Source organism: Homo sapiens, chromosome 18 (assembly GCF_000001405.40).
Source record: "Homo sapiens chromosome 18, GRCh38.p14 Primary Assembly".
Lineage (NCBI taxonomy): Eukaryota > Metazoa > Chordata > Mammalia > Primates > Hominidae > Homo > Homo sapiens.
The window spans coordinates 24,966,630-24,980,268 of NC_000018.10; the positions used below are offsets into that span (position 1 = coordinate 24,966,630).

A 13,639-nucleotide genomic window follows, 5' to 3' on the forward strand; every position below is an offset into this window, starting at 1 on the left:
ACTCAACCATAGACAGTATATAAATATATGGGTGTGGCTCTTTCTATTTCAATAAATCTTAGTTTACAAAAACAGGTATTGGCCATGGACCTTAGTTTTCCAATCCCTGGCTCAAGCCAGATTTGGAAGGGTATTCTTTTATTTGCAGTTCAATGAATTCTAATCATATATTCCTTCTCCCTAAATTCTACTCACTAGCTTCATTAACATCTAAAATTACGCAGTTAGCACCCTACTTCTTGTTTAAGTGAAAGCTCACTGCCCCTGTTGTGGTATAAATGGTACTAAAGGGAATGAAACACCAATCTTTATCAGTTATTTATACCTTAGTATAAATTATTTTAATAAGCCCTTTGTTAAGCAAAGAATGTTGTAGGCTAGATCAGTTTTAAGAAGTATTTACTCCCGCTTCTCACCTCCATAGAAGATGGGCTTGGCCATGTGACTTGATTTGGCCACAGATATGGGTAGAGGGGATAGTGCATCTGTTCTGACCCTTAAGAGCACTGCCTCCTTTTTCTCATCTGTCTTGTGACTTAGTGCCTCTCTATTAGTATAAATACCCCATTGGCCCCAGAATAGGGCAGACCTGAAACCTACCCAAGACAAGCTGAGATTAGCAAAATCTAGTCAATCTGCTGATCCACAGCAGGGCCTACAGCTCAGTGAGCTCGGTGAGCTTAGGTGCTCACTTCAGTAGCGCCTAAAACCTACACCCTCTGCCTAGAGTGGAGCAATCCAAGATAGCTGTAGATAAGTGAATAAGAAATAAATGCTTACCATTGCTGCCACTAAGATTTTGTGGTGTTTTTCATGTAGCATTGTTGGATATGGGTAATTAAGGGAGAGTAGGAGACGCTGAAACGTAGGCTAACTCTACCTCCTTTATATTTTTGTGAGTGTTGCCCCAAGCTAAGCTTAGAAGGCTCTATGTCTCATGGCCTATAGGAAAAAGTTGCAGCCTGCCTCTATTTGCAATTGTAACACATAGAAAGAGAAATCTTGCAGAATTCCTCATGCATATTTCCCACAGGGGGAAGGAGGAAATTTGGGAGAATCCCTTCTCAATAATAACCAAGTACTTAAGAGACGACTTAACCAAGTACTACCTATGTAAGTTGGAAATGAAACCTTTTGGTTGGACTCAGGAAGGGAAATAGATTGCTTCAAGCATTGTGAGTAAAGCCCCAGTTCTCCAAAGGCAACGTGGTGGAGTAGAAGGTGTAAATCGGAAGGACTGGAGTCAATATGATTTGGTTGGAAACCTGCTTCCATCAGGGAAAATTATGTAACTTTATTGAAACAATTTCCGCATAAGCAAATTCAGGGTAGCAGTATCAATCTTGCACAGTTATTTAGAAGAGTAAATGAGATGATCATGTAGATTCTATGGTTCATGGTAGATGGTCAATAATAAAAAAACAGTGATTTGTGGTATTTTTCACCAAATTTCTCATTTTCCCTTTTTACATGAAAAGATACTATAATTGATCTAATGACATAGAAACATGTACATATCATAATTTAATTATTTATATTTAAAATCGAATGGTAATCATAGCAGGAGGTATCTGGTTTTCCCAGCAGTGAATAACACTGCTCCAGTCCAGACGAGTTTAACTGGAAGGTGGAGATGCTGTTCCTCCCTTTCTCACTTTGATTGTTACGGAGGAGAGGGAAGGCAGGGAGGCTAAGTTAGAGTATGGAGCAAGTCCTAGGCTTCCCAAGCATATGGAGACTTCTGCCAAGACAAGGCACAGTATTATTAAGATTAACGGTTTTCAGATGGAGTCAGGCTTTTCCACTGACTCAAGTCAGAATGACTGGTAATGATGTTCATAAGATGCCATTTCCTGCCAAACAGTAAGATGTGGAATTTGTTAAATTAAGCCATGTGATGGGTCAGAAATGTATTAACTTAATCCATAATGAATGTCACTCCATTCCTTTTAACATACTTCCCCAATTAAGCTATGTAGGCCTCAGATATCTAAAGAAATTGAGCTGTCCTGCTTGTTGCCAATTGGTTAATTCCTTGATGATGGATAAAAGCTACCAGCAGCTTTTGTTTTTAATTCATGTTTTTCTTCAGTAATAGCAATCTTTTAATCAGCTGCTACAAAAAAATCCTTAATATTCCATAAATAAATGCTCAAGAAAGTCAAACAATTAGTAAGATTAATGTAAAGAGGCTGCCTGAGCACCTCTGATGGGCCCCAATAATGGGCTGCCATTACAGTCAACGGGCCACATGAAGGACCTGGTGGCCATTTTTATTTTATTAGCCCCATGCTGGACACACAGTAGATGTTCAGTGTTTATCAGGCTGAAGTGAACTAAACCCTGGAGGACTCTTAAGGTTTCTGACAAGGGTCTTTCCATAAGACAAGCATTTCTGGATTTCTGGCACTCCTTCCCATTCCCATGGGAAATGTGCTAGAAATTCTTAATAAGAGCAATATGCCTCTGCTGCACCCATAGGAGTTGGGGGTGATTTGGTTTGGCTGTGTCCCTACCCAAATCTCATCTTGAACTGTAGCTCCCATAATCCCCATGTGTTGTGGGAGGGACCCCATGGGAGGTAATTGAACCATGGGGGCGGGTTTTTCCCACGCTGTTCTCATGATAGTGAATAAGTCTCACAAGATGTGATGGTTTTATAAAGCACAGTTCTTCTGCACATGCTGTCTTGCCTGCTGCCATGTAAGACATGCCCTTGCTCCTCCTTCACCTTCTGACACAATTGTGAGGCCTCCCCAGCCACATGGAACTGTGAGTCCATTAAACCTATTTTTCTTTAAAAATTACCCAGTCTTGGGCATTTCTTCATAGCAGTAAGAAAATGGACTAATATAGCGGGCAGTCTTTACATAGGGAGGCCACTGCTTCATGTCCACAAGGGACTTAGGCAGCTTAGGCTATACCTGCTTCAGCCACCAAGGCAGGCATGAAGCACAACAGACATCCAGAGACTTTACCTCCTTTATATTTTTGTGAGTGTTGCCCCAAGCTAAGCTTAGAAAGCTCTATGTCTCATGGCCTATAGGAAAAAGTTGCAGCCTCCCTCTATTTGCAATTGTAACACATAGAAAGAGAAATCTTGCAGAATTCCTCATGCATATTTCCCACAGAGGGAAGGAGGAAATTTGTGGCTTATTTTGTGGGCAGTGTGTTATTTGCCCACAAAAGCATGGTGCAATCTTGCACTGTGTGACCTATCAACAGATAATAAGGTGAAATATTTCAGCTTATGAACCTCACCTTCAATGGTGGAACATACCAATTTGAAGGAAACTTTTAGATAAATAGTTGTCAATGGTAAAATTACTAAAGAATCTAATATTTCTGTTGTTTTGTTATCTTTGGGGCTCACCTGATATTAGAAGACACAACCTTCTAATGCCAAAGCCTCTTCTATATGTGAAGAAGCCAGATGGGGAACTGGGGCAGTTTAGATCAGAGTCAGTATACTACAGCCTGTGGGCAAATAAAGTGTCATTGCAATATAACACAGCCATGCCCATTCATTTGTGTATGGTCTATGGCTGCTTTTGAGTTATAATGGCAGCGTTAAATAGTTGGGACAGCAGTCATATATTTCACAAGGCCTAAAATATTTACTATCTGGCCATTTACAGAAAAAGTGTGCCAATCCTTGGTTTTGATTTTTCAAATATATTCACTCTCTTTCTCCCTTGTCTCTAATAAGATTATGCTTCTCTCACCCGCATTGATGTTGGCTTGCCATGTGACATGCTTTAGCCTCATGGTGGACTAGAGGGCATGTCTGCACCCCTTGACTTAGGGTCTGCAGTGGACCAAACTCAATGTTTCTGTCCACTGGCTATTCAATTAACAAGAATATATGCGGCCTGAGAGAGACTTTGCAAATGAAATTAAAGCTGCAGATCTTAAATCAAGAAAAGTAGCCCAGATTGTCCAGGTAGGCCAAATTAATCACAAGAGCCCTTAAAAATGGGGAAATATCTCTGGCTGGAGTCAGTCAGAGAAATGTGGCAGAAAAGGAAGGTGGAAGAGACTCAGTACAAGGGAAGTCAGAGATATTTGAAGCACAAGAAGGACTTGATGTGTCCTTGCTGGTTTTGTAGATGGGGAGGAAGGCATGGGAAGGAATGTTGGAAGGCACTAGAAGCAAAGATGAGCCCTTGCTGGAATGTCAGCCAGAAAACAGGGACTTCAGTTCTGCAAACCAAAGGAACTGAATTTGGCCAACAATCTGAATGAAATTAGAAGCGGATACATTTCCAGATCCTCCAGTAAGAAGCACAGCCCTGCTAACCCCTTGAGCTAAGCCCATGAGACCCATGGTGGACTTCTCATTTGCAGAACTGTGTGAGATAATAAATTTGTGTTTTAAGTCACTGAGTTTGTGGTCATTTGTTACGACAGCCATAAAAAGCTAATCCTAGGTCTACCTTGCTTTTACCAATAGGATGTAAAGAAACAGGATGCATGAGAGACACCAAATGTGCCTAGGTTTCTACCATTGCCATAAGAAGTACATGATGCAGCAAACCTACTAGTCTAAAGAGATACACAGACCAAATCTGGACCCAAACTGCAGCCTGGAATGGAGCCCAACTTAGCCGAGCCTGGATCAGCCAGCCCCTAGGCAACCCACAGATGCATAAGCAACATGACTGTTTTTAAAAGCCACTGGATTTTGAGATGGTTTCTTATGGAACATTATGGTAGATAAATGATGAATACAGGAATGCATAATAGATTACTTCCATAACGAAAACCTAAAATATGTGGGAGCCGGATAGTAACTGGTGTAAAAGCTACCATAGGGAGCTAGAAAAAAAAAATGGCCAAAAACAAACCAAAACAGAAACAGCCATGCAAACACATGTTGCAGGAGACTGAAAAACTGAGAGCGTATGGTATGACATGAGCATGCACATGTTAACACCATGGCAAACACTGGTAAGCTATTGCCGGCAATAATCTGGAAGGTTGAATGTGTACTTAATGAATTTGTAGATTTGAGGGAGGAGATAGGAAGCAGAACGTTGAAAGCTTGAGCTGTTTTGCCTAGCTGCATTTGACAAACTCTGAGAAGGAGAAGAACTCAGAAAATAGCTGACTATTTTTGCAAGCAAAATTTTGAGGAAATATAGAAAATCCAGAAATCTCAATGTAGAAAATAAAACTGACTTTTTACTTAACCAAGGGTGTGGTCATGATGATAGAGACTATGAAAAAATCAAATCCAACTGCCAAAAAGATATATTCTCAACATAAAAACCAAATCAGAGGGATGGCTGTTCCACACTTTGTCTGAGCTACAAAAGAAATAAGATGGTGTCTAACATGCTTTCTCAGCGAAGCAAAAAGGCTTGTAGGAAGATTAGGCATAGTTCTACAGACATCTAATGAGGCCAAAATACTCCTAGTTGATTCTAGAGAGAGAGGCCTGTCTTGGAAATAACTAAGAGTGAGTTTTGGGCACATGGAATTGACTGGAATCAAATATACAGAAAACCCACACAACTTTTGAGAAACGTACACAGTGGTTTCCTCTTATCTGCAGAGGTTATGTTCCAAGGCCCTCAGTGGATGTCCTAAGCCATGGATAGAACCCAACTATATGTATTCTATGTTGTTTGTTTGTGACGGAGTTTCACTCTTGTTGCCCAGGCTGGAGCGCAATGGTGCGATCTCGGCTCACTGCAACCTCCGCCTCCCGGGTTCAAGCGATTCTCTCATGTCAGCCTCTTGAGTAGCTGGGATTACAGGTGTGCACCACCAAGCCCAGCTAATTTTTATTTTTAGTAGAGACAGGGTTTCACCACATTGGCCAGACTGGTCATGAACTCCTGACCTGAGGTGATCCACCCGCCTTGGCCTCCCGAAGTGCTGGGATTACAGGCATGAGCCACCGCACCTGGCCTCTATGTTTTTTTATACATATATACCTACAATAAAATCTATAAATTAGGCACAGAAGGAGATTAACAATAATAAAATTAAACAATTATAATAATAAGCTATAATAAAAGTTGTGTGCGTATGGTCCCTCTCTCTTAAAATATCTAATTGGATGTAATATTTTTGGGCCATGGTTGACCGTGGGTAACTGAAATCGTGGAAAGTGAAACTGGGTAAGAGAGAACTGCTGTATTGGCAAAAGCACTGCTGGACATAGAAAAGGACTGAAATTGTTTGAGCTATAAACATCCCTTCTCTGAAGAAGCTACTCAGCCTTTAAAAAGAGTTTCTTTTCTTGTCTTCATCAGAAGTAGCCAAAGAAGATGTTGAGAAAAAAAAGAAAAAAGACCTTCCAGAAGGTGGAGCCAAGAGTGGTGGAGAACAGCGGACACAAGGTCTACCCCTAAGGAGCAGAACTGGGGCCTGGAGGAGAAACATTACTAATCCCAGGGAAGGGCTTGGACACTTTTGCCCAGCAGACTTTTCGTCTTGCTGTGAATGAGAGCAGCAATAGGCCACTTATCCTTTCCTTTTCAAAGAGGAGAGGGCCTGTCCCTGTTCTACCATGTGTGTTAGGCAAGGAGGGAGCACATATCTTGCCTTTTCAGTTCTTTGGTCTTTAAATCAACCCAAACTTGATGTGGTTTAAGAAATCATGGGCTTTGAGCCCGATGCCGTGATTAGATGAGGCTTTTGAGGATCCTGAGATGGGGTTTCTCCTACTAATGGCACCTTTGAGTTTGGATTTGACCTTGCAATTTGCTTTGGTCATGTGGGAGACCAGAATATGCCATCCCCAAATATGAAGGATGGTTGGACTGAAGATGATTAGTAAGAAGCAGATACAGGAATGCTGTCTGCCATCCCTCTATTTGCCTTTACTTGTCTAAAAGCAAGACTTAGATTTACCAAGACATGAGGATATCCTGCCCCTCCACCCTTCCCTTCTACCAAAGAGAGGAAAGATAAACCACTGAAGACAACCTGAGATCCTTATTGGCTTTGACACAGTACTAGAGAAATTCACATTTGCTAACTTTGCTAACTAGCCTTTATCTGCCATTTACTTGCCTTCCTCCCAGTTACTTATCCTAGAGTCTCAAAGTCTTTTTATGTCTTGTCATTTCTCTAAAAATTTAACTTTCTTTGTTGAAGATGCTATATAAGCAGAAATTCAAAGCCACTACTTTGAGAACTACTCATTCCCTGGGTGTCTTCCATGTATATATGAAATATACATGTTAATAAACTTGTTTGTTTTTCTCTTGGTAATCACTTTTGTTACAGGGGTCTGTTCCCAACAAAGAACCCATGGGGGTTATTCTTCCTCTAGAGTTAATAGAATGCCATCAGAAGTGACACAAACAAGAGATGTGAAATGTCCTTAGGTGGTTAATCTTATTCTCCTGTGCTTCTTCCATTACCATGATAAGAGAATGCTCTCACTGGTCCACTGGTCCAAGGAAGATGAGAGACATATAGACCAAGCCTGGTCCCAAACTGAAGTTTGAAGCTAAGCCCAGCTGAGCCCAGCTTGAATCAGCCAACTTCCAGCTGATCCTCAGATACTTGATGGTTGTTTTAATCCACTGAGTTTTGGGTATTTGTTACAGCATTACTGTAGCAAAAGCTAATGATACCAGGATTTCTCTTTTCTTCTTTCTCCCAAGAATTTCATTATGAACACCAGTGGTAAGTCCTGTGTTTCCTGCTCTTTTTAATATGCTTCCCAATTAGTCTTGTAACGGACAGACCTCTACTTTGGGAACCAGAATACTTAAATACCAGCTCTGCTGTGTACTGGTTGTATGATCTTGAGCCCATAAATTAATACTCTGTTGGACTCAGTTACCATATCTATGAAACAATGATAATCACCCTAACTTCATACGGTTTTGTAAGAATTAAATGAAACAGCAGATTTCACAAAACAGTGTATTGCCTGACATAAAGCAGGGCCTCAATATGAATTGAGCCTAAATCATTGGAATGAGCTACTGGATGCTTTCCAAGTTTTCTTTCAGCTCAACAATACCATGATGTTAAGAGATTTTTGGTTTTCATCACAATACTTGCTCACTGATGCTTTTTTAATGATGACAAACATTTTGATTTCACTCTTTGAGATCATCCTGACACTGGTAAGATGCCTGGAAGGGTCAACGCATTGACTTAAATTTATACTCTATTGTGAAAGGCTAACACCAGGGCACATTTTAATATCCATGAGAAAGACACAAAATATTTGGGTTTACAAATGAGTTCCTAGCACATATTAGGTCAATGTGTGGAAATGAAAGAGAACATGTTCAGTTAGTTTACAAGCCGGGTAACATCTCTATAGTGGCCATAGATATAGATATCCTAGAGAGAGATATCTAACAGCATGTGTATATTTCAGAAAAGACTCTATAACCACTTCAACAAAACACTGAAGTCTAAAGCACCTATCCAAATAAACTAACAAAAATTATCCCAACAACTCATTTAAATCTTTTTAGAAATGCATTATGTGTTACTAAGTATGGTAAAAATCCTTATATACTAAAATGGAGCTTGAGATTTCTAATTTAAAATCTTTAATTTTTGCATCTTTTTATTCGGTCTTTACTATTGACAAATGTGTGTCATACATAAATTTGCTTCATTTTAGGAAATGGAAATTCATAAGCTTATTTTTATTTTTATTTGTGAATTCTGGGTGCTGCTTGGCCTCTGGGTCATCATTATAAATGGGAAATCTCATAGGTAAGGACTGAGGACATAGAAGGTACCAGAGCTGGGAATAAATCTCTAATTACATTAAATGTCCTGAAAATGAATTTTTTGATTAAGCCCCAGACAACACTACTATTTTCCCCCAAAGATGAATATAAATAGAAACAAACAATAGCAAATAAACAAACATATAATTCAGCTTCTTTAGAGATTCTGTTTAACTGGATTTCAGTTAATTTCAGTTTTGCTGTATTTCCTCACAAAGCCATTTTCCTTACCATAACTCTGTAGATTACCAGAGTGGACTATTTCATGCACAATTTATTGCAGAGACAGGCAGTATTTATCAGTTCCTTCATGGCAAAGAAGAATCATCTGCTTGAAGGCCATCACTCACACTGCTGTCAGCAGAGTGGCAAAGAGCTGAATAATAAAAGAAAAGATCCCCACAAATACTGGATCTGTGATAACTCCATTAATTTGAGAATAAGAGGACTTTTAAAAATGGGGAGAAAATATCCAACCTTTTAGCAGAACATCCTAGATAAGATAGAGCCCAAGCCTTGGCTCATCCATCATTGTTTAGAATTAGCTTTCATGCACTTGACCTTAACCATCACTCTTTTTGTCAAGCCTGGGTGTCAACACAAAAGAAATTGGTTCATGGATGAAAGTACTGAATGAGCATCTGATCACACTTCTTTCAGGCGCTTACCTTCTCACAGTAAGGGATCAATTAAAACCAAATGGAGCAGATTTCTCTGGATATCTGGGTCGTCAATGTGGAATGCTATGGTTTGGGTAAAGAAGCATTTAACTGAGAAGAGAGAGGCTCCTGGCCCGAGCACAAGCAGGCCAGGCATGTATGTCATAAGCTGCGGGATGTAAACACACTCAGCACTGGACACGAAAGGACAAGGACACAAGAGACCGTCTGTCATGTCATTACCTGAATATCTAGCTGTATTATTTATAAACCAACTTGCAGCAGATGTTGTCTTTTTTAACACAAATTCTCCTTCCAGGGCATTATGCATGAGGCCTAATTGTAAATGCCTATATTGTTTCTTTCCCCTACTGATTTATTGTTCTATAGACATCTACATGGGAACGCAGTGTGGAACTGCACTGTTTTCTCTATTAATTATTTTCACTCTTTGATTACTAATTTCAGAAGACAAACTTTTCACTGTTGACCTCCTCAGGAGTGGATTGTTTTACAACGAGACTGTATTAGGGAAATGAGTCCCCAGTGAAAGCAGAAGGGCATGAAAACCTTGTGTCTTATTTACATTAATCCAAACACAAGTTTCTCAGTCATTTCCCTCTTAAATCTTTATCTACTCGTGAAATAAAAGTCACAGACCAGGAACAATGCTTCCACTGGAGTGACGGCAGTTATTGCACAATACTGGAGCTGTTATAATAGAATCAAAGTCTGCAAAAAAAATTACTACTGTTAGACAATAAGACATGTATGCCTATCTCTGTGCCAAAGATGTAAAACCGCCAAGCACTACCCTGGGCACCCAGTAGGTAGGTGCTCAGATATTAGAAGTGTTCTTCAAATTTAGAATCTGACATGATTTCCAAAGTAAGTGTTCGTGATACAATGAGTTACAATTTGGGAGAGCCTGGAATTCTTTCCCAGAGAAGATTTTGAAGGCTTTTGTTAAGCCATGGGATTTTGTTGGTTCTTTTGACCAGACACCCCTCTGTATGTGTAATTGCCCATCCTCCTGCCTACTGGGAGAGAATTGCAGTCCCTGGGAGCATGCAGGGAGCCTGGCCCTTTCCATCCCTTCCCTCTCACCTCCTCTCAGAAAGAGGGCGCACTCCGTACAAGCCAGGACTAAAATGGAACATCCAGTGGCTCCTGGGGGCCATTGTCCTGAGCTCTGGTGGGGAGACAGAGATAGAGATGACAAGGTGAGCATCTGTTGCCTGTTTCACAGGCTGCCCATCTCTGCCTGGGTCTCACACCTTTCTCAGGAGTCCATTTTGTCCTTGGATGAAGTGTGTGCATTGAGAATCTAGAAGGTTGGGACAGACCATCTATTGAACTCAAGTCTCTAACCTGAGCATCAATCCCTTCCATCCTACGTCATTTAAATGACCACCCAGCTTCTGTAGGGATGCCTCTAGGGATGGAGACACACTCCTCCTCAGGCAACAGCTCATTCTCTTTGGTGAGAGCTCTAACAGAAAGTCTTTCATTGCACTAAGGCTTTGCCTAGAGAAGACCGTAGTTTCCACCATTCTGTTCTATCAGCTTTCTGGATCCACAGAGTCCTTAACTGTTCTTCCCTGTAACAGATATTGAATGATTTAATGAGATTGTGCAGGGCTATCAGCCATATTTAATTTCTGTGCACAGGGGAGATTGTTACTTTCTGCCCACTGTGCCTAGTTCCTCTCAACTTTGTCAAAAATGAGCAGAGGTTTTTCCAGCCTGGGGCAGATTGAGTAGCTAAGCCTGGCTAGGGCAGGCAAGGCTGTCCACCATCTGGAGGGAGGATGAGGGCATAGGTAGTATAGAACTAATATTCCAGAAAGAGTTCACATGGATGGTTCATCTTGAAACTTGATTGTTCCCAGGCTGATGTTTCTTATTCTACTCCAGTGGAATTACTTCATTTCAGGTATTAAATATCTGGCCTTGGAGGTCTGCTTCAGTTCTGAAGGACACCCACATGCTCAAAAAGGCTCAAAGAGGCTTTGTACATAGAAGATCTGGTGGCTCCCCTCTTTTCATTGTGAAAGTAGTCACCTGCTCTTTAGAGTAGGGATATAGAGATAAACCATACTGACTCTCAGGGTCCCCAACACTGAAAGACACGGTCACTATTATTATAATCATGGTTGGTTTATTGCTCCAAGCCCTGTTTTTATAGTCAAATGTAGCAACCACACTATATATTCAGGTTCTACCTTCTGTTGCAAACCACTAAGCCATTTTGCTGCAAAAAGGACAACTCTGACTCCCCTGCCATCCAGATGTTGTGAAAGGTATTTCATTTATTTTTAAATTCATCCAATCATTCATCCAATGTCCACTCTCAGCAACATGTGTGAAAACCATGCTAAATATACATCCTCAGTGCCTGCCACCTTAGTGGGTCTGCAGTAAGTTGTCTATTGAGAAAAGCTTGGGTGCTGTAGTCTTATCGTCATTAAAAAGTGGGCAGGATCTATAAATAGCACCCAAATTTTAAACTACTTTTCTGGAGCAAAATGTTTGCTTAGTCTCGCCATGCAATATTTAAAACTATTTATTTTGAAGTAATTATAGATTGGCAGGAAATGGCAATGATAATATAGAACGGTCCTATAGACCGTTCACCCAGGTTCCCCTAATGGTAACATCTTGTGTAACTATAGTAGGACCAGGACATTGTCCCAATGTCAATTGCAGGTCTCACCAGCTTTACACATACTCATTTGTGTCATCACACATTTGCTGATTGTCTGGCATCTTTGAAGAGCTTACTTAGAACTTTTAGAGGCACAACTTTCTCCTAAGAGTCCATTTATGGTAGCTTCTAATTGGGCTAGTTTCTCAAGATCTCAGAGTCAGTATACTCTCTCTCTCTCGCTTTCTCTCTCTCTCTTTCTCGCTTTCTCTGTCTTTCTCAAGAACACAAGCAAATAGGGTTCTGATATGTAGTAGTAATGAAGAGATAAGAAAGTCTGGTACTTGTGGCTATTGATTAAAATCTGTGATTGGACCCAGCATAAAGCCAGGAGAGGGTAGAATTATACTAAGCAAATAGGCTTTATTCCAGAGGCTGAGGAGAACCTCCATCCCTAAACAGTGTGGCAAAAAAAGGAGCATGAGGAAGAGAAGAACTAATCTGTAACAGGCACATGCTGAATATTTCCCAGCAAGGTTCCATGTGCTGGGTGAGGAGGCTGGGAGCCCAGACAAACCCTGCACCGTGGTTCCAGCACTTTTGAGTTTGAGCTCCCTGCTTGCCAAGCTCCTGGTGATCCAGAGGACCTCAGGAAGATCCAGACAGTGGGGAGGGGCGGGGAGAAGAGGTGAGGGGGACTTTTCCCAGCCAAAACCTACTTCAATGGATCAGCCAGCCTCTGAATAGCAGCTTTTGACATCTCAGTGGGTTGTGAGGGAGGTGTGGTCATCACAAATGAAACAGACCACAGGGGGTGCAGGAGACCTCTGCAGGGCCCCTAATCAATTACTAAAAACATGGAGAGGGTCCTTGGAAAATGAGTGAAGGAGACAGACGCATGCTGACACTCAGTGGTATCGCTGGGCACCAAAGGAGAAACTGGGGGATTTTCAGCTTCACAGAGGATGGGGTGATTGTTTCCTTTCATCAGCCGTTGCCCTCAGAAAACAAAACAAAAACCAGAAGAGAAACATTGCCTATGGAAAAAAAATACATATAGAGGCTGAAAAGGAGGAAATAAAAGGAATGAAATTTGCTTTTACGAAATAATTTAAATAGTCTTGAATGCCCAGAGGGCCCAGGCACTATATTATGTGTTACAGAGAGGTTGCTATCTCCCAAAGGGGATATGAAATGGGAGATGAATATTATTAATCATCCCTATTTGCTATATGTTAGGAAACTGAGAAAAAGTGAAAATGAGTGATTTTCCTTCAGATTCACATGCTGTGGCAGCCACAGGGCTGGGATTGACAGACAAAAGCATGACGCCCTGCAAAGCAGAAGAGACACCAGCAGGCTGTGGGGGCTCATGCAGTTGAATGCAATGATGCCCAGGATCCCCATAAGCCACCTAGCAGCGGGGTCGTCTGCTGCCTGAAGTACCCTGTAGGAGTGGCTGGGGACTCCTTTGCTGGGTCATGTCCACCAGCAGTTCACCTGCTTGGCTTGGGCTGGCTCGAGTTCACTTAAAGGGACTTTAAGGGATTGGGTTGATGTTGAACCTCATTGATCAAACTGAGATTACAGGGAACAGACTAGAACATCAGATT

The 13,639-nt window shown here is 41.2% G+C and overlaps 1 long non-coding RNA gene across 1 annotated transcript in view, besides 1 other annotated feature; it reads right to left on the bottom strand.

The window, feature by feature from the left end:
- Positions 1-13,639, bottom strand: part of LINC01894 (long intergenic non-protein coding RNA 1894) — a 55,206-nt gene that overhangs the window by 33,856 nt on the left and 7,711 nt on the right. The gene's annotated exons all lie outside the window — the stretch shown is intronic.
- Positions 12,523-13,080: an enhancer, noted in NCBI's record as "NANOG hESC enhancer chr18:22559116-22559673 (GRCh37/hg19 assembly coordinates)". NCBI's record gives its function as "activates a minimal SCP1, AML or CMV promoter by ChIP-STARR-seq in primed H9 embryonic stem cells {active_cell/tissue: H9 hESC(primed)}" and the evidence as "EXISTENCE:reporter gene assay evidence [ECO:0000049][PMID:30033119]".